Consider the following 26,206-nt stretch of genomic DNA (forward strand, 5'->3'; position numbering starts at 1 on the left):
GTAGGAGAGATGAAGGACATGGGTTCAGCTAGAGGTTCTGCAGTGGCTGCTGTTCAACTTCCTCGGTCAAGACCACAGGAAAGGCTTCTCGAGATTCTCCCAGGTCTTCCCTTGGGGCACCTGGCAGAGGAGACGCCTACAACAAAGTACAAACCTCCCCGGGTCTGCCACCCTCTCCTGCGAGCCCATGTTCAGCCTTTAGCAATTTGTTTAAAGTTTCTAGCCAGATCTTCTTACTGGCTCATACGGTCTTGTGTGGTGTTCCCCATGTAAGCAAATGTCCAAGTCCTGCTTCTTCCTGACACGTCTATCTCTCTTCATATTTCAGACTGTTGTTTTCCATGCTATTTCAGATCTCCCAAAGGAGTTTTCTGTTTCTTTGGCTTTTTTTCCTGTTCTAAGAGGGGGATTACTGCTCCTTCCAGATTACTGCCTTTAGCTCTGAGTTGAAATATTGCTGAGTTTTTATTTTGTTTTGTTTTTAGAGATGGAGTCTTACTATGTTGCTCAGGCTGGCTTTGAACTCCTAGGTTCAAGCAATCTTTCCACCTAAGCCTCCCGAGTAGCTGGGACTACAGGTGCATGCCACGGTGCCCAGCCTGTTGCTGTTTTATCAGCACTTTACCAAGTTGTGTGCAATCTTTAATCTCTGAGCTAAACAACTAGCCTGGGTCAAGCACATGTTGCAGCTTCCATTGTCGGAGAAGAAAATGAGTTAGAAAACTTATTACTGTATTTACTACATTGAATATGCATGACCAATCCTTCATTTTCAAGTAATCACAGTGTCATTATAAACTCTAAATTCACTCAGAAGTGACTTCTTATCAGAAGTAAAAAAACAAAGTTTATAATTTTAGATGCCTTTGCCTTCTTATGAAGACATATGCAGAATTCCATCTCTGACTCGTTTCTGGACCCTGGAAATAACTGGCTTTTTATAGCAATAACTCAAGGGACTGAATATAATTTAAAAGTAATATACCCAATACAGGTTGAGCATACCAAATTCCAAATTTCAAAATCCAAAATCTGAAATACTCCAAAATCTGAAAGTTTTTGAGCACCAACATGATGCTCAAAGGAAATGTTTATTGTAGCATTTAGGATTTTAGATTTGGGATGTTCAACTGGTATAATGCAAATATTCCAAAATCCAAAATCTAAAACACTTACACTCCCAAGCATTTCAGATAAGAGATACTCAAATCATTAAAGTACTTATTGAGACTATTAGGTGGGTGCTACAAAATCATTTCCCGACAGAAATGTAGGGAATCTCATTCTAATCAAATTAAAACTGTACATCAATGAAAAATACAACGTTGAAACCGACAATCCTTCATCCATGGTAAATGAATGTCAATCAATTTCCCCTCCTGTGTCTTTGTTTAAACGTCTATGTAAAGTCTGGAGATTTTCTGAGCCTATCTCTTTGGCAACTCCCACTATTTTAATTCACAGTCCTTTCAAGTCCAAGCAAATTTCTGAGTTTCACATTGCTCTCCTAGTTGGATAAATCTTTATATAGAAAGCACTTACATTTCAGTAGGAGGGTTTAGTCATTTGTCAATAAATGAGATAGCTGGTTCAAGCAATCTACCAAGTTTATTTCTATGTGAAAATACTGCTAGAAGTTAGCAGGTATACATGATCTACATGATTTTAAATTCTTTGTGAATTCTCAAAATAAATCTTTAGAAATATAGTATACTAGAACATGTATTATAAAAATTACTTTGCCTGGGTAATCTAATTCATCATTGGGCATACTTAGTATAGCCATATATACATACTTATAAACACAACTTACAGGTATAAGTTGACATAAATGAACATAAACTGACAATCAACTAAGAAGGCAAAGACATTTAAATAAGCACATTGTATTTAAAGAGATAAAAAGCTATCAACTACCTATCAAATGAATGTTCCACCAGGGGGTGTAGTATGCATTTATTATGTCTGCAGCCAATTTACCTGGCGTATGCACCTAAAAACAGTTGAACAAAAAGTATATTTTTGTAGAATGATTTATGACGTCCCACTGGCTTTCATTTTTATTCCAAGGAAGCTTTGTCTGTATATTTTATTGCTTTTCAATTAAATCCAAAGTTATTTCCAACACTTTTGGTTTTCAAATTAAAGCTAAGTTGTAAAGAAAACTGTAAACAAATATCTAGATTCTTCAGGGAAGTCTGCTATTAATGCTAGATTAATTCTTTCCTATAGCCAAGAATCTTTTAGCAAAGCAATTGTTTCTTAGCGTTAAATACAATCTCACAAATATTCTACAAATGGATTTTATAGGTTGAGATTTCCTTTAAGTAAAGCTCGTCGCTAATGAATCTGGAAATATTCAGTTATTTTAACAAGAATAATAGCAGCTAACAGTCATTAGTCCCAAAATAAAGTGTTTCCTTCAATCTCAGATTTACAAAATTGGTTTACCTCCACAACCACATTTGATGAATGAAAACATTTTATTAGATATGTTGATTCACTAAGATGTGCGTATTCACAAATTTATCCAGCAATAGATGTAACAAGCATATGAAATAATAAATGAGAACAGTAGCTTTTTTCCTTGCAAAATGTACACTCTACTGACATCTATATTGGGTCAGCATCACCCAGCCACTAAGCACCAAAGCTGTTGTTGAACGCAGGAGTGGCTGATGCTAAGGCTCAAGCTCTGGTGAAAACCCACACTGTGTGGTCAGGGGAGCCGGAGCTTCTGCCACTGGGAAACTCTTGGTTTCTCCTGACTCTCCATCTTTACCTTCCCCCTCCTGGGGAAGAGGACAGCCTTGCCTGTTGTTGCTCTTACTGGGGGTAATGTGGGAAGGATGCCTCCACCAGGAGGTGCCAGTCATCATAGAGCTCCATGGAAGGCAGCACAGCACAGGCGGATGCAAAAAGAATCCAACATTTCGAGATGCATTATTCAGTAACTAGGTTACACATGAATACACACTCAAGATCAATTTGTAAGGAACTATCAAAGGCACAGTCATGCATCGCTTGACAACAGGGATTCATTCTGAGAAATGCGTTGTTGGGTGAATTCGTCGTTGTGCAAGCATCATAGAGTGCACTTACACAAACCTGGGTGGCACAGCCTGCTACACACCTAGCCTATATGGTATGGCCTATTGCTCATAGCCTACAAAACTGTGCAGCATGTTACTGTACTCAATACTGTAGGCAACTGTAACACCCCTGCAACACACGGGTAAGTATGTTGTGTATCTGAACATACCGAAACATAGAAAAGGTGCAGTAAAAATACAGCATAAAAGGTTGAAAATGGTCCATCTGTATAGGGCTTTTTCCATGAATGGAGTTTGAAAAACTGGAAGGTGCTCTGGGTGAGTCAGTGAGTGAGTGCTGAGTGAAATGTGAAGGCCTAGGACATTACCGTACACTACTGTAGACTTTATAAACACTATGCACTTAAGCTACACTAAATTAATAAAAATATTTTTCTTTCTTCAATAATAAGTTAACCTTAGCTTGCTGCACCATTTTTACTTTATGAACTTTTAAAGTTTCTTAACTTTTTGACTCTTTTGTAATAACACTTAAAACACAAACACATTGTACAACACATTGTACAAAAAAGTCTATATCCTCTTCTGTGACCTTTTTCCTATTTTTAAGGTTTTTAAATTTTTTTCTTACTTTTAAAACTTTTTTGTCAAAATTAAGTCACAAACATACATATTAGCCTAGGCCCACACAGGGCCAGGATCATCAATATCACTGTCTTCTCCTCCACATCTTTTTTTTTTTTTTTTTTTTTGGATAGAGTCTCACTCCGTCCCCCAGACTGGAGTCCAGTGGCGCAATCTTGGCTCACTGCAACCTCTGCCTCCCAGGTTCAAGCAATTCTCCTGCCTCAGCCTCCTGAGTAGCTGGGATTACAGGTGCACGCCACCATGCCTGTCTGATTTTTGTATTTTTAGTACAGACGGCGTTTCCTCATGTTGGCCAGGCTGGTCTCCAGCTCCTGATGTCAAGTGATCTGCCCGTCTTGGCCTCCCAAAGTGCTGCAATCACAGGCTTGAGCCACTACATCTGGCCTCCCCTACATCTTTTCCCACTGGAAGGTCTTCAAGGGCAATTATATGCATGAAGTTGTCATCTCCTAGGACAACAATGCCATCTTCTGGAACACCTCTGGAAGGATCTGCCTGAGGCTGTTTTACAGGTAACTTTTTAATATATAAGCAGAAGGAATATGCTCTAAAATAACAATAAAAATTATAGTATAGTCCAGGGGTATCCAATGTTTTGGCTTCCCTGGGTATACTGGAAGAAGAACAAAATTGTCTTGGGTCACATATAAAATACACTAACACTAACAATAGCTGATGAGCTAAAAAAAAGAAAAAAAGAAAAAAAGAAAATAAAAAGGTCCGTGCATAAAACTCATGTTTTAAAAAAGTTTACGAATTTTTGTTGGGCCGCATTCAAAGCCGTCCTGGGCTGCATGCAGCCCGCAGATTGGACCAGCTTGGTATAGTCAATACATAAACCAGTGACACAATCGCTCCTTGTCATTCTCAACTGTTCTGTATTGGACATACCTGTATGTGCTGGGCTTTTATCCGACTGGAAGCACAGTAGGTTTGCCGACACTAACATCACCACAGGCAGTGAGTAATGCCTTGTGCTATGACCTCGTGATGACCAAAACATTGTTATGCGGCACATGACTATTTCTAAGCTCACTAGGGCCCCTCGTGTCACACAACAGGCATTTGAGAGCCTCAGTCTAACTTCTCACAAGCAATCTGCAGCTTCTCACCAATGAAGAAACAAAGGCAGCCAGGGCACAACCTTTCATTTCCCCAAGGCTGTGAGAAAGAGGTGGTATAAACACAAGTCTTGTGTCCCCAAAAGAAGAATTTATTCCTTCTTACATTTTGGAAATATTGATATTTTAAAAAAATTACTCTGTGTGATTTTAGGAATGTGAGCTGGGCTCTGGGAGGCCTGAGTTTAAACTCCGTCTCTTACTCGCTGTGTTAACCTCTCTGCATCTCAGTTTCCTTCTCTGTAAGACAAGATGACGTCACAAGACGCTTCATATCCCTGCGCCTCAAAGAAAGGCAGTCATCACGCAATACTGACTTAATGGGCCCTTCATCATTTTTTGGGGATAAGAGGTCCAAGACACATCTTTTGTGGGAAGATGAGTTTTCCCAGTGATGCTAAGACACTGGGGGATGGGGGTGGAGGTCAGGTTGGGGGTGGGTTTGGGGTAGGGAGGTGGAGGCACACATTAAAAAAAATTGCCAAACCAAATTTATTGCTGATCTCATTTTCTCAGCATTTCTTCTACATTCATCAAATATTTTAGCCACTGCCTTTTCATTTCATTTTCCTCCAGTTGCACGTGCTTTGCTTTTGATGTGGCACACACTTTGAAAATACATTATTAAACAGATGAGCCTGTCACCCCTGGAGCTGGCACTCTGTCCCCTGCTTATTCTTAACAAATCTCTCTTTGTGTTCTTTTGTGCTGAAGTGATTAATCATTTCCACTATCCAAGGGCTGCTGACAATCTTTCTAGATGGCTCCGCTGCCATGACCCCTCCCCGCATCCACACAGTTTGAAACATGCTAGGAATCTGCTGCTGTTCCCGGGGCTTTATTCCCATCACAGTGGGCTCCTCATCCATACGGTAACTAGCCAACCTCCAAAAGAGCTCCGCTTTTATTTCTTGCCTTTTTCCAGAGTTCGGGGTGGGGGTGTGCGTGAAGGGGCTCCTGGCGACTTCAGCAGGAAAACAAGGAAACTGTAAGTTAAAAAGTCAGAATGATAAATGCTTATTTTGTAGACCAGACAGGAGGTTTTTATCTCACTGTCTGGACAGAACCTGCTGCACCTCATTTTTCTGGGCAGTATCCTCCTCTTCACTGCACTGTGGCTGGGTTTTCTTCTCCCCTTCATGCTTTCCCTCTGGTTATCTGTAACAAAGTTTTCAAATGGCTCCATATTGAAAGCCCAGGCTTTGACTCACCAGGCTCTCAATCTGTAATCTGGTTTCCAGAGCTGCAGCCTAGGTAGGTTTTGGGAAGTTGATCTTTTTTTAATAAGTGTTTACAAACATTTTTAAACTAACTTTAAAGGTACTATTTTAAAAGCCTATCCTTCCCCAACCCCCCGCCCGCCCCAAGCATGCACTGTTAAACTGAATTCAAAAACATGTTCAAAGAACTGACCAAAAATACCATTAGGTCACAAGTTACTGCCAGAGAAGGGAAAGCTACAATGATTCAGAAAGTATTAATAAATGTGCAGAAATAAGTATTCTGATAATGTTAAGGTAATTAGCATAGAATCCCAGGGTGATTTTTAAAAATAATATGTACTTTACATGTAGAAATAAATCTATATTTGAGACTATTGAAAAGATATTTACAAGCACTTGAGGAATAGTTTTAAATTAATACATTATAAGTGTAAAATAAGCATGCTGATCATATGATTTTAACTAGGTTTCAGAAATGTAATTACTGTTCATAGAAAGATACTTAAAAAAATGAGTAGTCATATGTTCTTTGCAGTGCTATTCACAGTAGCAAAGACATGGAATCAGTCTCCATGCCCTTCAACAGTGGACTGGAGAAAGAAAACGTGGCACGTGTACACCATGGAATACTACGCAGCCACACAAAAGAATGAAATTCTGTCCCTTGCGGCAACGTGGATGGAGCTGGAGGCCATTATCCTTAGTGAATTAATGCAGGAACAGAAAATAAAATACCAGGTTCTCACTCATAAGTAGGTGCTAGACACTGACTACACAGAGACATCAGGATGGGAGCGATAGACACCGGGGACTACCAAACGGCAGGGGCTGAAAAACCACCGATCGGATATACCCAGGCTCACTACCTAGATGAGGGGATCACTTGTACCCCAAACCTCAGCATCATGCAATATACCCATGTAACAAACATGCCATGTACCCCCCAATCTAAAATAAGATTAAAATTATTAAAAAAGAATATAAAATCCTTTTTTTTTTTTGAGATGGAGTTTCACTCTTGTTGCCCAGGCTGGAGTGCAGTGGTGCGATCTCGGCTCGCCGCAACCTCCACATCCAGGGTTCAAGTGATTCTCCTGCCTCAGCCTCCCCAGTAGCTGGGATTACAGGCATGCACCACCATGCCCAGCTAATTTTGTGTGTTTAGTAGAGACAGGGTTTCTCCATGTTGGTCAGGCTGGTCTTAAACTCCCAACCTCAGGTGATCCACCTGCCTTGGCCTCCCAAAGTGCTGGGATTACAGGTGTGAGCCACAGCACCCAGCCCAAAATCCTTAATATTTTTAATTCCACAGAACCACAGATCTCTAATTGTTTGAAGTCACAATAAAAAAGGCACTAAAATAAAAACTTACTAACCAAAAACTGCAATAATAAAGAATGAACTGCCCATAGGATATAACTTTTATAACTTTCTAAGGAATCCAGGGGAGAGAGAAATACACACACTTGCATACATAGGTGTACCTTATTAGTGTGTGTATGGGAGTTATGATAAATAAAATATATCAGCTAGTGCTAGCATATGATAATTCCTTTCAAACCTAGTATCTGGAGACACATGAAGAGGTCCACCTACCCTGAGCTGTCATCAGAAACTGAAGCTGCTTAGGAACGTAGTGCTGGCAGAGGGAGGGTCTCTAGAGTGTGGAGGTGCTGCACACGGCACTTTTCTAGAATTTCTGAGGTACAAGTGGGCCCAGGAATGGAGTTCTGGGCCAATGAAATAATGGCTCATGTTCAAAAAACAGTTAATTTAGGAGTCTAAACAACCCCAGCGGTGGGTTAGCGATTGTGAAATTATGGGCTGTGTGGACTGCTTCCAAAATCAGAACAAAACAACATGCAAATAAATATGGGAGCATGCTGGAAGAGTTCTGGAAATAGGTCTGAGTTCCAACCCTGCATTTTCCCAATACTTACATTCCACTGAATCCAATGAGCATAAAAACAAAGAATGGCACATCCACACATCAGATTTATCAGAACGTATAAAACGATGGATAAATGCAATGGCAAAGGAGAAATTAGGTTTCTGAGGTTTTTTAGGTTATAATGAACTAAATGATTACAAGACTATAAAAAGGTAATTATGTCTTATTTAAAATATATGATTATTATCTAGATAGATGTTCTAATTTTTCAAGGCTTATATTGCTTTCATCCTCAAATGATCATTTTCTACCTTAGAAATTATTTTCTAAGATCTGTGTGTGTACAATAGTAATTTGCAGCAAATCAGTGTAATTTCACAACCCTTAATTTGAAAAAATAACAGAGGACACTGTATGTGATTTTCATGATAATAAATACAAATTTAAAATGTATGTTTCGAGTTGATCACTTTGGATAGATGTGTTTTAATTGTTCCAAGAACTGCTTTACACAGAGCATATTAGCAGTGGAAACAGTTTTGACTTCCAGCCCTTGATTCTACCAGCAGCAACATGGTAATTAACCAAATTATCCCTGCAAATGTATTAGCTTGATTTCTTCAACTTGTAAAAATTCATTACCTATCAAAATGAAAGGCTTAGTCTCATGAAAGATACTCAGGATAAAAGTGGCAGACACAAAAAGTCTGAGTTTTCTGACACACACTTTAGCAGGAGCTGCTGCACTCCCTCCTGTTTCTAGCCCTCAGGGGTTAGCATGTGAATTTTCTTCTCTCTTGCATTTGTGCCAATTGTACAATGTGTTCTAATGCTTCCAGGTAGCACAACAGTCTTGGCAGTCCTTGGAGAGCTCATGTTTTAGGGGATGGTACCTTGAACCATTTGCTTCAGGACTAGAAGGACAAAAGGGTGAAGAGCAAGAGGTCAAAATCATTCATTCATTATTCTTCATCCATTTATTCACTTAAAAAATTTTTTTTTAATTTTTTGAGATGGAGTCTCACTCTCTTACCCAGGCTGCAGTGCAGTGGTGTGATTTCGGCTTACTACAACCTCTGCCTCCCAGGTTCAGGTGACTCTCATGCCTCAGCCTCCTGAGTAGCTGGGATTACAGTCCCCCGCCACCATGCCCAGCTAATTTTTGTATTTTTAGTAGTGACGGGGTTTCACCATGTTGGCCAGGCTGGTCTCGACCTCCTGACCACAGGTGATCCACCTGCCTCGGCCTCCCAAATGCTGGGATTACAGGCGTGAGCCACCCCATCTGGCCATTTATTCACTTTTTATTAAACATCAACTAAGTGCCGGTCATCGTGCTCACCCCTGGAGGTAGATAACAACAGCCCAGGAGAAAATAAGAAAGACCATTACATATTAAGTATTGTAATAAGAATAAAGTGTAACTGGCAGACATGGAAGAGGAACCTCTAACTCAGACTTTGGGAATCACAAAGGCTTCCTGGAGGGAGTGACATCTCTAGTGAGGCTTGGAAGATATGCAGGAGTCGGTCAGCTAAATGTGTGGTCAGGGGTAGGCAGAGCATGTGCCGGGGTGGGGAAGAGCATGAGTTGCGCCCAGAGGTGATGGTGAGAGCAGTGGTTACGCCTGCAGAAGTGCAGCATGGAGTGTGAGGGGCAACGTGGTGAAAGATGAGTCTGGAAGCATACGCACGGCCACAGCATGTGCGACTCTGCAAACCACGTCTGGGGGTCTCTGGCCTGACTCTATCCTGAACTCAGGGGAGAGCCACGAACAGGTTTCCAGCAAACCTATGCTTTGGAAAGTGGATTCTGCCTCCATTGTGGAGACTAGTGGGAGGCAGAGGGCTGGCAAGCAGGTCTCTGGAGTCATGTAGGAAAAGGATGGTGGATGAACAAGGAGATAGCTGGAGGTAAAGAGAAGTGGACCCACCGGAGGGAGACAGAGCTGACAGGCTTGGTGAGGAACTGAACATGGTGAGTGTGAGGGAGAAGAAGAACCCAACAGCATGGACAGCCGGGGAATGAAGATAATCCAAGCTGCAGGAAAAGCCGGCAGAGGTGTGAGATGAGTTAAGGTGCAGGTGTCCATGACACATCTAAGTGGAGCAATCTGGTGGCCGCTGGGCAGGTGACAGAAGTTCAGGAAACAGAGCTGTGTTTGAGACACACTTGAGACCCATCCCCACACAGATGTTACCAGACACCATGGAAGTACAGCATCTAAGTAGAGAAGAGTCAGGATGGGACCCTGAGGAACACCAACATCAAGGGGGACTTACAGGAAGACAGGTCCACGTAGGAGACCCAGGAGAAAGGACCACAAAGTGGGTGAACCCAGGAGGGTGTGACAGAGACACCAAGGGCATGAGCATTTTCACGTGGATCCTGCAGTCAGCAACATCAAATGCCTGCCAGAGATCACATGGGGAAATGCTCTCTGTACTTCTGATAAGCAAGCCTGGGGTGGTAACCTCAGTAAAAGCCATTTCAGGAAGGAAGGTGGTGGGAGAGATGGCAGTTGGTTGAAGGGGAAATGAAAGTGAAGACACAGAGAGACTTTGGTCTGGAGAGTCTAGTTAGGAAGGAAGAAAGAGCTGCAAGCAATGTAGCACTGAAGATATATATATATATATGTATATATATACACACACATACATATATACACATATATATATGTACACACACATACGATGGAAAGAATCTGTATGTGTTTACTGAGAATGAGATGCCAGCAGAGAGGCAGAGGTTAGAAGAGGGCAGAGAGAGGAGGTGCTCACTCCTGTGCTGGCTTCAGTAGTGCCTGTTTCACTCACCCTTGTACCCCCAGCGCCGAGAACAGAGCCTGGAACAGTGACTGTCTGATGCCACTGGCCCAGGGGTGCTCATTGGATGGCATCCATCTCTCTGGGGACAGAGAAGGTGAAGCGTCTGCGGAGGGTGACGAGGACAGTGACAAGGAGGTGCTGGTGTCACAGGTGTGCAGCAAGCAGGGATGGTCTAAGCCAGGCATTCCCAATGGGCACCTTACAAAATTGGTTCTTGGGGATGAGAAAACCTTACTCTGTGTATAAAGCACAGACTCACATACCATGTACAAACAGACATGCGGTATCTCTGTGGTATTAGAATTTCATTTGGGAACAATTGGGAGAAAAGTGTCTTAAAGGTTCCTGAGGGGGTTGATAAAGTCAATGGTAAAATGACTGAAGGATACTCTTCAAGTCAGTAATGCTGGTGAACATTGCATTGATGGTGAGCTCCAGCGGGGAATAAGTTACCCTTCAAGGAAGAGAGCATAGTTTGGTTACTGTGATCCTGCCCTGGCAGTGAGATCCAGCATAAAGCAGACGTCGCAACCGGCTGGCTGCCTGGAGGGGTCCGCGATCCAGACCTCCAGCACTGGCTGCTGGAGAGAAGCAGCCTGGACTCCAACCTGTCAGTCCTGGAGCAAGTCAGGAGCAGTGCAGACCAGAAAGTGGACAAGCAAGGCAGCAAGCACGAACGTGTAGCGAGCTAGCAGAGACCGCCACGAGACGGACCCACTTCCAAAGGGGGCCATGACTCAGTATAACGATCCCAGCCACAGGCTGAAACCAGCAAGGCTTTTGGGGAGAAACACTGTAGTGCCCTTAGGGAATTTGATGGAGGCAGTAATGGGACTGAAAGGTCTTTGGTGGCTTACACTCGAGGACCTGTTTGCAAGAACCAGCTGCCTGATGGAATTCCTAGGTCAGAGTGAAAAGTTAAAAATGTTGGGTAGAGCTGAAGTTCACAGAGCCCTTCATGCTAGGGATTTTATGGCACAAGAATTACACACACACATCACACACGTACACACATTCACATTCCAAAAATACTTTTAGTAGAATCTTATTTGCCTTCATATTTTAAGTACTAATATCACTTCAGCAGATATTTTGGTGTCTCTACACTAAGTCCTCACTTAATGTCATCAATAGGGTCTTTGAAACTGAGGCTTCTAAGTGAAATGCTATATAATAAAACCAGTTTTACCATAGGCTAATTTTGATATAAACAAGAGTTAAGTTCCTACAGCACATTTCTGATCACAAAAACATCACCGAACTTCTCCATAAGGTCCAAACACTTTTAATATTAAACACTGAAAAAATGTGAGCTATGCATACATTAAGAAAGATTAATAAAACCAGAAAAATACCATTCAGGACATAGGCATGGGCAAAGACTTCATGACTAAAACACCAAAAGCAATTGTAACAAAAGCCAAAATTGACAAATGGGATCTAATTAAACTAAAAAGCTTCTGCACAGCAAAAGAAACTATCATCAGAGTGAACAGGCAACCTACAAAATGGGAGAAAATTTTTGCAAGCTACCCATCTGACAAAGGTCTAACATCCAGAATCTACAAGGAACTGAAACGTATTTACAAGAAAAAAACAACCCCATCAAAAAGTGGGCGAAGGATATGAACAGACACTTCTCAAAAGAAGACATTTATGCAGCCAACAAACATATGAAAAAAAGCTCATCATCACTGGTCATTAGAGAAATGCAAATCAAAACTACAATGTGATATCATCTTAGGCCAGTTAGAATGGAGATCATTAAAAAGTCAGGCAACAGACGCTGGCAAGGCTGTGGAGAAAGAGGAATGCTTTTACACTGTTGCTGGGAGTATAAATTATTTCAACCATTGTGGAAGACATTGTGGCGATTCCTCAAGGATCTAGAACCAGAAATACCATTTGACCCAGCAATCCCATTACAGGGTATATACTCAAAGGATTATAAATCACTCTACTATAAGGACACATGCACAAGTATGTTTACTGCAGCACTATTTACAATAGCAAAGACTTGGAACCAACCCAAATGCTCATCAATGATAGACTGGATAAAGAAAATGTGGCATATATACACCATGGAATACTATGCAGCCATAAAAAGGATGAGTTCATGTCCTTTGCAGGGACATAGATGAAGCCACCATTCTCAGCAAACTAACACAAGAACAGAAAACCAAACACTGCATGTTCTCACTTATAAGTGGGAGTTGAACAATGAGAACACATGGACACAAGGAGGGGAACATCACACACCAGGGCCTATCAGAGGGTGGAGGGCAAGGGAGGGAGAGCATTAGGACAAATACCTAGTGCATGCAGGGCTCAAAACCTAGATGACCAGTTGATTGGTGCAGCAAACCAACATGGTACATGCATACCTATGTAACAAACCTGCACATTCTGCACATGTATCCCAGAGCTTAAAGTAAAAAAAAAATAAAAATAAAAATAAAAAAACAAGAAACCAAGTAAGATAATTACTTACACCATTCTAGGTGAATCAGTGAGTGACTGCAGTTGCAGTGGTGGTGGTTTCCATCAAAGAATAAATGTCTGCAAAGCAAAAATTGTAAGGAGCACCTCCTCCTGCCACGAAGTTTAAAGATAATCACGGGCCAGGCCCGGTGGCTCATGCCTGTAATCCCAGCACTTTGGGAGGCCGAGACAGGTGGATCATGTGAGGTCAGGAGTTCAAGAACAGCCTGGCCAACATGGTGAAAACCCTTCTGTACTAAAAATACAAAAATTAGCTGGGTGTGGTGGCGGGTGACTGTAACCCAGCTACTCGGGAGGCTGAGGCAGGAGAATTGCTTGAACCAAGGAGGCCGAGATTGTGCCACTGTACACCAGCCTGGGTGACAGAGTGAGACTTTGTCTCAAAAAAGACAAAAACAAAAACAAAAACAAAATAAAACAAAGACAATCACAACAGGACCTGCTCACCTAGTGCTTTCATACCATGCTGTTTATTGTTGTGCATCTGTATGACTATTGTAGACTTGAAGATTTGTATGTTAGAATCATTTCTATTCATTCATTCATTTTCAGGCCACTTATCCTAGTTCAGTGGGGTGGGTGGCTGGAGAAAGGCAGGCACCAGCCCTGGCCAGGATGCCAGACAGCCCCTGGCAAGGCACGCTCACACACACCCACACTCACTGACACTAGGACTGTGAAGACATGCCAGTGAACCTAAAGGGCACATCTTTGGGATGTGAGAGGAAACTGGAGTCCCAGAGAAAACCCGCACAGACTTGGGGACAATGTACAGGCTCCACACATGGTGGCCCCGGATGGGAATTGGGTTTTTTTCTCATCAACCTTATAACAAAACAAAGTTGAATGAAATGATGTTATTTGAGCATCTGCTGTATGCTTCTTAATTAGCATTCTAAAAATCCTTTTAAATGCCTTAAAATACAATAACTATAAAAGTAATCTTCAGTTCTCATCTCCAGTAAGTTTTCAAAGTCTGATGAATACGTATGGTGATATTAAGTATGGGAACAAGAAAGAAAAAATAAAATTGCATTGGTTCTCTTAAATAAAGTTAACAAATGACATAAACCAGGTTAGCTGGCTAGTACTGAACACTAGCATTTCACTGTCGGAGAAGAACACTCAAATGAAACCCAGATTGAAAATAAGTTAAGTGTTTGGGGAATTTACACATTTGAAGGTACTGATAGATACTATGATTTGACATGTATTAACCTTTTCAACTCTGTACAATTAAAAAACACTGCAATCGAAAACCTCATTCATGGATAAAGATAAGAATTTGCACTTATTGTTCTATGTGATTCACATTTAAGCCCTTATTTTTTGAAAATGCTCACTAAAATATAAAGAAGAAAAAACTATAAAGATGTTATGAAAATGTGAACGGACTATATGGATGACAATGTGTAGTCCAATGGCCCACACACATACGAGGCCAGTAAGGTTGTTATCTCTCAGCTCCAATCCCACCCTTCTACCCTCTTGTTTTGTGTTGCTGGGGCTGGACTCTCTGCAAACCACCTTTCAAGGACATACTGCTGTTGAAAGAAGCACACCTCTATTTGTTTTCTCCTCTGCATTCCTCCTGTAACTCACTAATCCCACCCGCTCAGTGCCTTCTGCATGTGGCAGCTGTTCAAAGGTACTGAGTACATCTACATTTGACGTACTTGCGTCAGTCCTCTAGTGTAGTGCTGAAGTTCTCCAAGTATCTCCAAGAAACTATGAAACCTTTGCATAAAATATTGACAAACGCCCCGTGAAAAGATATTGACTGCAGTATCAGAACCCGCTTTTTACTGTTAGGGCAGAAGTTATAATCTCACAGACTTTTAGATGCTTGGGCTGCTAACATGCCCTTCATCTTCTAGGCATATGGTTCTGCAAACAACTTTGTGATTTCTAATGACGTGCATCAAAATGAAACAGGTAAGTATCAAAGGGCGAAGCTGTTCATTCTCAACAGGAGCTTCTGGACTTCCAGTATTCCTTTACCCATCACCCCAAAGCCTCCGGGCTCAGAACAGATTCTGAATTAAGGTGGTCTCTTGTCCCACCTCTGCTAGAAAATGAACACCTCCAGAGTCACTGCCAAGTCCACAGATTGTAGTCACAGGGCCCTGCAACATAGTGGCAAGCTGTTGGCCACAGCTTGCAGGCACCAGGGTGCCCTTAGCAGGTAGAAGTGGAGCCCTTTAGGAAGGGCTTTTGGTTTCACCCCAAAGGATTAGCATAATAGCATTTATGAACAATTAATCTCACAGATATAAAATGAGATATAAAAGTGTGGTATTTCTGTCCCTAACCGTTCAGATGGCTAAATGCAAAACGAAAACACAGGACTACCAAGTCAACTAACTTATCTTGGCTAGACTTATTGTAGGTTTTTCTCAGTGAATTTCTCTAGCCCTCCATCGGGCTGACTTTTGTTTTGAGTTTATTTTGCTACAGCAAGTAATGGGATATATTAATGGCGCACCTCTACAGTTACACCTGGATTGATTTTGCCATTGGTGGGCTTCATTTCATCACTAATGATGAAATCTTTGCTCTTGGAAACAAATGAAATAACTTATAAAGGAAACAGTATGAGCTAGAAAAAAAAGCCTGCCTGGTCTGAAGCAGGGAAGATTTGACCTAGGTCCAGCTCTGCAAATGACCCAAATAGGTCACTGAAAACAAGTTATCTCTTTGTTCTCTACCTTCCAGTAGGCAGAGAATGGCAAGTATGTTTTCATTTGATTGACATTTGTGAGCACAAGGCTTCTCTTGTCCCACCATCCGGGGTCTGTACATGTGAGGGGCTATCATGATGTGCATTTCCCAAGTCAGTGCCCTCAACTCACAAATCTCCCAGGACCACAACTGGAAATCATCCCATCCAGGATGCTCCTGAGTTTCTGGAAAACCAAGGAAAAAATGAGTTCCCTTTATTTGCCTCAAGTTTGTTCCACTATAATGTCAGGAAACTGGCTGAGGTCTCCAAAATTTAAACAAGTACTACTTACCCCCTTCAGATAAACAGAAAATGCAACTCTATGTAAATATTCCTTAAGAATATTTTGCAGCACACTGGAATTAAATTAGTGCTAAAGATGATGAGAGCAAGAAAGTAATCTGCTCAGATGTTACACTGAAATTGTCTCTAAATTCATTCCTTAAGTCCAAACCAGAATCTCAAACACTGATCTCTTATTACAAAGGCACTCTATGTTATGAGTGTCTTCAACAAATGCCATGTAAAGCTGTCTTGCATAAAAACTGTACATCCTAGATTCCAGCCCAGCACCCCCACCCATTAAGTTATAAACCAATTTTATTTGCTGAACAAATGTTAATGCCATTCTACGTTAATGGATAATGCTATGAAAAGCACCTAAGTATTACAGCACTGGAACATTTAAGGATAAAATAGAGTGTAACTTGGAAAACTGCCTGTTACAAACATATGTCAGCCATGAAGCCTTCTAGCCCTGATCGCCCATCCTCACAGAACTCTGTTTTAATTTCTCCCTCAGTTAAGAGAATTTTGCAATAACACACAGATTTATTAGGTCCCAGGAATAAAACTCTCGGAGTAAGGATAAAAAATAATTATATGTTAGAACACAACGTAATATTCAAATGACTTGAAAACAGTCACCTCAGCAAAAATAAGGAGAGAGGAAGAAGTTAAAGATGAGGTTGATAACACTGGCTATAAAACCTCTGAATTTAAGTGCATAAATGCATGATCTGGCACTTCCGAATCATAAACAGGTAGAAACGGGAAACCTCCCATTCACAATGAATTGCCTGACTGGTTTCGTTAATGAGCCAGGGGGACGTCTTCATCTAGTAAGTCAGTACAATGTTAAGAGAGGTTGCTGTGCAAGGCGTCTTCATTAGAATCCCAGCTCTACCACTTGCTAGCTGTGTGACCTTGGGCAAGTTGTGTTTAACTTCTCTTCACTTCAGTTTCCTCATCTGTAAAATGGGAATGTTACCAATGCCTACCTCATGAAGCAGCTGTGAGGGTTAAATCACAGCTTAGAACTGTGCCTCACACATAATGCATCCTCAGTCAACGTCAGCTCTTCATCACTTGGTGGTTGTTATTGTATGAGGGACGTATTGCAATTGGAAAGGGAGCTGAAGGGAAGTTACAGCCTTTCCTCCCAAGAAGTCTCTAAATTCACTGACTGCATTTTCTGTTTTCTCGAGTTTGGCTTCTGCCCCCTCTACTCCACCAAAAGGGCACTTGCAAAGGTCACCAGCAACGTTTCTGTGGTCTAATCCATTGTGTGGTTTTAGATCCTCATCTTTCTCGTCCTCTCAGAAACTCTGAACACCACTGAGCTTGAATCTCATTCCTTGGATTCCATGACTTTTCACTGTCATAATTTTCCCTTCACTTTTCTTGTCACTCTCTCTCACTTCCACTTGCCAGCGGCTATTCCTTCCCTTAGTCTCTAAAAGTCAGAATTTAGATTCTCAATGTTCCTCGGTCTCCAGTCTCTCTCCAGAAAAATTTACCTATTTCTACGGTGTTATTACCAATGGCATGCTAATTAATCCAAAATGTTGGTCCAACACCTCAGACCTCTGCTCTGACCTCCTGACCTCCAATATGTTGTTCTATGTTCTCTGTGTTTACTTGAATGTCCCAAAGGCACGCCAAACTCACCATGCTCAAAAATGAATTTATGATTTCCGCCCTTCCCGCAAACCAGGATCTTCCCTAATGTTTCCCATGGCCGTAAGCGCACCACCAAGCATCTCTGGGCTGGACTCCTGCAATAGCCTCCCACTCCCTCTTGCTTCTCCTTTTCCCGGTGGATCCCTCTCCATAGCAGCCAGAGTGGTGCATTTAAACTGCTAATGTGATCACATCACTCTGCTCAAATGCTCAGCTGATCCGCATCTTATAGGATCTACGACCTAGCTCTGTCTGCCTCTCCTGCTTAGCTTTATCTACCTGCTCACCAACTATTCTGCCTTTCCCTCTCCTTGGAGCCACAATCTTGGAGGAAGCCTGGTGTGTCACAGATACACAATAAATACTATGGGCGGTAACCAAGAGTCCTGGTGCTTGCGTTTGGAGGTGAAGAGGGGTAGAGGATCTTGGAGAATGACTAATGTCAGTGAGGCAGGCATAGACAGAAAGCCATTCCAGGAAACACTGGGAACACTAATGCGATCCCCTAGGAGCTCCCCAAATACCAACTACTACTACTAACGCCTTAGGCTGACAAGTAGGGAGAGAGAGTAAAAAGCTCCAGGCTCAACTAGCGCCACCATCATCTCTCTTTCCTCCTCGTCCATCCCACCTCCCCTCCTGACTGCTGCTCATAGGCTAGGAAGAGTGGAATTTGGAGCTCAGTTGCCTCCTAATCCAGCCACCACCTCCACTGCCCTCTCGCACACACATGCAGACTTCAGCCTTGCATATGGACACAAATCTGTGATCCGGTGGGTCCACGTTCTCTCTTTGTTTCAGGCCTCATCCAAAGAGTGTTGTGGCACAGGTGCAGCACTGGCGGTGGGAGGGAGGGGAGGACTGGGGCGAGAGGGGCATGAGGCTCTCATCAGCTCTCTTTAGAAAACAATAACTATAAAGCTGAATGAGCTTTTGATTGTGACACTCAGTTTTATTCAAATTGAATTTTGCTTTACCTAAACTCTATCCTTTTGGTGTGTGAATTACTCAAGTCTTTATTCAAACTTCAAGCCTTGTATGGAGAACAGAATAGGAAGGTCAAAGGATGGATTTCTTCCATATCCTCAGAAGGGCCAAGAGAGAATAAGAAGGTAGACTTTTTCTACTTAGGGAAACCAAAGAGGGGATTGGTGTGTTCTAGTATTATCCTTTTGTGGACATAAACACTATAACCAGTTAAAGGAAGATGGCTTAAAAATGGAATATGTGAACTGCAAATATGAAAGTATGTTGAAAGAGAAAAATAGGAAAAGTTATATCAGCATCTTAGGTTGATTGTTCTTTAACTGGAAACAAAGCCCCAGAATAGAGACAATATAGATATAAAATATACTATGTATTTTATTTAACATATACTTATATACCAGAAATGAAGCTGCCTGTTTTGACAATTGCTTTCTCTATAAATCTCTGCCAGAAAAAAAATCATTATGAATTCAACAAATCACATCTCAATTAGTTATTCTGGTCAACTTGAGACTTAGATTTATTTATGAAATAATGCTTTCCAGAAAGAAAAACATCTGGCCTTTTAAAATAGTTGTTAATGTAAAATTTTAACCCAAGTAATTGTATTACTGTAACTCACTAGCAATTAAAAAAAAGTGTGTAGGATATCCAAAAGAAAGGACCATATTAAATTAAAATAAAGTGTTTTTTTTTTTACAGTAAAATTCATACCATCTGGCCTAATTTGTCTTGGTGTTTTGCCCAGTGTAGTATCAGCTTTTTGAGAACTATAAATTATTAGGTAACTCCCCTGAAAAAATATGAGTGAAGAAAAAATATGGGTTGATGACGACATCCTGATTATATGTCTGAATATTTGGGAAAACACTGATGTGGTGGAACAGCCCAACCTAAGTCAATCTGGGCACGAAACTGGTTCAGGGAGGGAACCCACACTAGACACAACGGTGATGAAAAGGACGGGCTCACAGAGGGTGACAGGGAAAATAACATGTGAAACAATAGAGAAATAACAGTTCCAGATCCTGAACATTACCTCTTTGTCAAGTGCTTCTGATTCCAATTAAGTTTACAGGAAAAATAACCAGGCAACCCCTGCCTGACTCAAAAAAATGTACAGACTATTAAAGGATGCTTTTAAATAGCAGGGTGATAAATGGGGCATCCACATGTGAGCACCAGCATATTTTTCATCTAAATTCTGTTCTTCTGTCTTCCAGCTGATCACTTTAATAGGGTGTCACCTCAGCCTGTGCAGAGGTGCCCAGAGGGGGTGCAGCTCCTAGATTGTTAACAGAAGTGTTGTTTCAAAAACTTATGTGACTACTCTCAGAAAAGGTAAATGTCAAACCACAGACTATGGGCTCCTTTATCATGGAGCCGCAGGTTTCCTTTCTATTTAGAGTCTATGTCCCACAGATTGATAAGACTGTTTAAAGAATAATCTTACCCGGATTATTTCTTCAACACAGCTGTTGGTTTCTCCAGATCTACTCTCCTGAAAGCAAAGAAAAAAAAATTAAGCCTGATGGAATAGATTGATGACCACACAGAAGACATGCAAGGTTCCAAATTAGTCCCCCCCAACAAAAAAATTCAGCGAGTTACAGGTTGAGGGGATGCCTGACCTGGGACTGGCAGACAGGCTCCTTTCCCTAACAGCCGGCTCCCATTGTGGCTGCTGCTCCCCCTTCTCTGGCTGGAGCACCACACACGCACCCCAGAGGCTCAACTGTGGCCCCTCCAACCACCCTACTTTAAGTGGGGTGGGCTCCTAGGGGTACAGAACGTGACCTGCAGGTATGAGCTCCATCCACCTTGGGTGCCATTAACGTGTGGAAACTGTGGCCTCCGCTACAACAGTGGATCCAATTTATCCACCAAATATATGCCGTGGGCCTACCAAGTACCACAATGGTTGCTACGGCTTAAGTAAAAGTCTGGTAGTTCCACCGTCCTCAAAGCCTTGGTTTACTGGTTTGATAGGCAGAAAACTGAAAGACCAAAAAGAGAAACATCCTCTGGATGTTGGACTGGCATGTGGGGCGTCACGCTCAAGTCACTTGTTCTGTCACTCAGCCTGCCCTGTGCTGTGCAGATGTTCCGAGGTGCAGTGGCTTCAGGTCACAGCCGACTCTGGGGAGCATTTTAAGTTCCAGAGATGCTGTGTGGGTCCTGCTGGCTACACAGCCAAGAGTGCAGGATGTGGGTTTGTGGGGACACAGAAGCAGTGGACGCTGGTGAAAGTGCCTACCTGTGGTCTCAGGGAGATCACTTCTCTTCGTCCTGCAATTCAAGGATGTCAACCTGAGAGTAGATGTCACTGTGACATCCTGGAATGAGGCTTTTCTCCACAGTCTCTTCTCCAAGGCCACTCTCCCTTCCTCCTCACTGTTCTCTCTCTACCAAGAATGCTATCTGCACCTTTCCTGGTTTTTCTAGTTAATTTCCTAGTTAATTCCTAGTTAAGTCATCCTTCGAACAGCAGCTTATCCACAGCTTCCTCCGAGCAGCCACCCTGACCCTAGAGTGCTTGCCCCCAGCAGCCTCCACTTCTTCAAAGCCCTCACCACGACGGCAATTCAATAGTGAAGTCTCCAGCAATATCTCCTCCCTCTAAAACATCAGCTCCCTGGATTCCAGGGCTCCCTGTCTTCCAGCACCGTGCTCCACACAGCATGGGGCACCCCCAATAACTATTGGCTGGTGGTAGGTGTATGAATAAATGAATGAGTTTACTTCCTGCAGTTCTGAGGGGCATGAGGCTCATCAGAATCAGCACTAGGACTTTAAAAAATATTATGAAGGCTCTACCAGTGACCGTTCCATCACACTCTCCATGCCCTGTGTCTGCCAGCTCATTCCTTGTCCTGGGGTAGAGCATTTCCTTTGAAACACTCTACCCTTCACTTGAGTTAGGCGCCAGGCTGAAGGAAGGTATGTGAGGCTTGAAAAGGTCACACACATGATTGAGACCTTCTCCTACCCAGAATTAGGGGATTTATCCAAGTCTCCCACCTGAGGCCCAGAAAGTTTACACAACTTGCCGAAGGCCACACAGAGTTACCATATGGTAATCTCTGTTTTAACTTTTTTTTTTGAGACCGAGTTTCGCTCTTGTTGCCCAGGCTGGAGTGCAATGGCGCGACCTTGGATTACTGCAACCTCTACCTCCTGGGTTCAGGCGATTCTTCTGCCTCAGCCTCTCGAGTAGCTGGGATTACAGGCTCCCACCACCATGCCCAGCTAATTTTTGTATTTTTAGTAGAGATGGGGTTTCACCATCTTGGCCAGGCTGGTCTCAAACTCCTGACTTCAGGTGATCCCCTCGCCTCGGCCTCCCAAAGTGCTGGGATTACAGGCATGAGCCACCGTGCCTGGCCTGTTTTAACTTTTTGAGGAACTGTCAAATTGTTTTCCACATTGGCTGTACCATTTTACATTCCCACCATCAATGCATGAGGATTCTAATTTCTCCACATTTTCACCAATACTTGCTATTTTACTCTACTTTATAATAGCTATCCTAGTGGATAAGAAATGATGTCTCATTGTGGCTTTGATCTGCATTTTCTTTTTTTTCTTTCTTTCTTTTTTTTTTTTGAGACGGAGCCTCGCTCTGTCACCCAGGCTGGAGTGCAGTGGCGCGATATTGGCTCACTGCAAGCTCCGCCTCCCAGGTTCAAGTGATTCTCTGGCCTCAGTCACCCGAGTAGCTGAAACTACAGGCATGTATCACCATGCCCGGCTAATTTTTTTATTTTTAGTAGAGTTGGGGTTTCACTATGTTAGCCAGGCTGGTCTTGAACTCCTGACCTTGTGATCTGTCCGCCTCAGCCTCCCAAAGTGCTGGGATTACAGGCGTGAGCCACCAGATCTGCATTTTCTTAATGACTAATGATGCTGAGCATCTTGTGTTTACTGAACATTTGTTTATCTTCTTTGGAGAAATGTTTATTCAAGCACTTTGCCCATGTTGTAATTGGGTTGCCTTTTTATTGTTTTATTATAGGAGTGCTTTGTATATTCTGGATATCAGAAGACTCTTAGCAGATATATGATTTACAAATATTTTGTTCCATTCTTTGGGTTGTTTTTTCACGCTCTTGGTAGTGTTCATGGATGCACAAAACTTTAATTTTGATGAAGTCCAATTTACCCGTTTTTTTCTTCTGCTGTTTGAGCTTTTGAGTATCATATCTAAGAAACCATTGCTAAATTCAAGCCATGAAAATTTCCCTTTATGTTTGTTTTCTTTCAAGAGTTTTACAGACAGTTTTAGCTCTTTTGTATAGGTCTTTGATACAATCGTCTGGGAACTTTTAGGTGAAGTTTATTTTCTTGTGGATTATTTGGTGAATTTTCGTTAAAACAGGAATGTTATCTTTTTGCTTCATTCTAGTCTCATCATTAAAAGACCAACAACAAAATGTGCAAGGCACAGCCACTGCTACTAGTAGTGCATGAAGACAACATGCACTACTTGGCTTATCCTTATAAGCCAAGAAAAATAGTGTTCAATATCATGACACCAATGCTTTCACTAATACTTCACACCCTTTCCTATACTCATCCTTCCTTCTGTTTTCCCAAAAGCTTCAGTTGGCCACATACTTATTACAAGCTTTCACTCCCATTCCCAATTCCTTACCACAGGACTGCTCTGGAAACATCACCATTCTGACACTCTGATACAACTGGATCAGAGAGCTCTTTTGGAACCTGATCCTTTTCCAGGGAAGCCTGAGGTGACCATCACAAAGGTTATATAGGAAAGTCTCAGTCGGGCCGGGGGGCTTGATGGTCACTTGGAAGGATTTCCTTTGGCGTTCATGGTGGGAATGAGTGGTCTGAATTAGAAAATGTACCGTCAAACCTACAGAATATCATTAATCATGACTCTTATCCTACTTCTAAGTCCCAACCATTTCCTACTGCATAATATGCTGGCAGGGCAAATGCTGAATTCTCAATGTGCTTTCTGTTTTCTACCACAAAACAATTAATCAAGAAAAACTTGACCTCAGGTCCTCCTGGTGGAATCACCCAGATATAACAGCACACTACAAATACTCTTAAAATTAAACTTCGGGTTTAATTCCTTAAAGCTAAGCTTCCCTGAATATCACACTTTAATTTCCTTTGATGTAGTTTATATAAATGACAGGTTGCTTTTATAACTATCTCCCTTATAATCCTATACATTTCAACTATTCTACTCTGATAAGGAAATGCGCTGAGAGAGAAATGCAGGATAGATGCCCTATTAGATACTTCTCTCATCACTGGAGACATAGATGTAGGATCTTTACACTAAGTCATCTCTAAGGCAGCTCCAACCAGAAGCCTTGATGGTCTGGACAGACATCAGGTCATTCCCTACTAGGAAGGCCCTTTGTAAAGCTAAGGAGGCGGCAGAGGTGAGGCCAGGGTGAGGGACTTCTAACAACAGTCTCAGGAAGTCCTGGCCTTAAATTACAGCATGGACAGTCTTTGGCAGAGGAACCTCTTGAGTCTTTTCAGAACACTGAGAAATGTTCTGGGGACTCAAGAAGAGTACCACATTGGTTTGAATCTCCAGGACCCCATTTAGATTGGAGTGAATCCATGGGCCACAGTATCGTAGAAAATCTGAATGGGAAAGAACTTTGGAGCTCCTTTCAGCCCAAGTCAATGACTTTAACAGATGGAGATGCCATGGCTCAGAGAAGTGAAGGGCTCTGTCCAAAAATCATTCTGACAGCAAGACACAGTTGAGGCAGAATCCACTCACATTTCAACACCAGCTCATTGAGTTCTCTACTATCTCATGCTGTCTTCCTGCAGCTCAATCCCTAGAGCTGGCTCATGCTGAGGTAACTTGCATGCTCACAGTATGAAAATAAAAGAATGCAGATAGTATTGGGGTAAATTTCCTCCTCCTTTTCCACGTGGCACATTACTCAGCGCTTGATCATTGCCTCTCACTAGCTAATCTCCAACACTACACGTGTAGACCAAAGGGGGAAGAGAGGAGAGGGGAAGTAGAGAGAAAAAGTCAAATCTACTACCCCTTCTGTGACATTAAAAAATAAGGGGTAAGGGTTTGTGTCCTTAGAAGTAGGAGGATGGAATTCCACCTTATCTTTTCCAAATTACAGAAAGCGTAGGTAGATAGGTAGGGTTGGGGTTGGGGGATCTGGGGTACGTTTACCTTCTTGAGGTCTTTCTCAAATCTGGTTTCAGCTGCAGTTGTGTGCTTACTTTGATTATATTTACATTTTGAAAACTTTCCATGTTTATCAACAAGATTAAAATATGCATGTAATTTACATCTCCAAATTCGTGTTTATATTTTTCACAATAAAGTTATTGCTTTCCTTGGAAAGGTACCCACTGAGAAGGAAGGCTGCACAATGCACATTTTAATTACTCTGTATTTTTTGACGGTTTGTAGCTGTTGTTTCATGCTGAGTTGCTGAGCTGTTGCTCCGTATTTACTCCAACTTTGAGGAACCCACCTCATTTTCCTATCATTACATTTTGAAATCTGTCATAACAGTCTCACCTCATTGAACCTCCAACTAAACTTCAATTAAGAGCTAGCAACCCCAGCTGATTCTCCTCTTCTACAGCACTGTCTAGCATGTGATTTCCCTAAATCCTACCATTTAAATGTACATGCCGCACACTGCCAAGAAATGTACAGAACTATGCTGTGGGTAAGTGTAGCTCGGGGAATAGCCAGGAGCATCCCATCCCTGATGGTGGAAGTCCCTAATTACCATGCCAAGCACAGAATATGGGGAGAAGCAGGGCTTAAGGAAAAAGAGTGTGATCAAATCAGTGGGAAATGGTATTTCATTGCAGAGATGGGCTGCACAAGTCCTCATTTTTGAAAATAGTTTAACTCTTTATCACACACATTTCAGGTGGAACTTGCATTCTAAAATACTACTACTTTCAAATCACAATGCCTTTGTTTATCTTCAAGCACTCAAAAGACCCTCAAGCATTTAGAAATTGTGTATCCCATGTACACTCTTAAACACTCCTGCAGAAATATTTTTAAATCAATCTATTCTTGATTTATCACAAACCTGACATACAAAAAGTTAGGTATGCTGTCAATACCACAAAAGCATTGGTGAGAATCTGAGCTCAGATGCAGGGACCATCATAATTCCATGGGAAGTCCATCCCTACAACTGTGTCTCCTGCCTTATCTTTAAGGATAGGGCCACCTGTGAACAGAGGCAGACAGCCAGTTCTCTCCCAAATTCAGCC

General features: G+C 42.1%; 1 protein-coding gene across 20 annotated transcripts in view; it reads right to left on the reverse strand.

The window, feature by feature from the left end:
- AFF3 (ALF transcription elongation factor 3) overlaps nt 1-26,206 on the reverse strand; it is a 597,172-nt gene that overhangs the window by 271,668 nt on the left and 299,298 nt on the right. For all 20 annotated transcript variants that reach the window (NM_002285.3, XM_047444286.1, NM_001386135.1 and 17 more), the window contains one exon: nt 20,391-20,438. In NM_002285.3, coding sequence (NP_002276.2) covers nt 20,391-20,438 — 48 coding nt within the window. The remainder of the gene's footprint in view (nt 1-20,390; nt 20,439-26,206) is intronic.

This window comes from Homo sapiens, chromosome 2, assembly GCF_000001405.40.
Source record: "Homo sapiens chromosome 2, GRCh38.p14 Primary Assembly".
Taxonomy (NCBI): domain Eukaryota; kingdom Metazoa; phylum Chordata; class Mammalia; order Primates; family Hominidae; genus Homo; species Homo sapiens.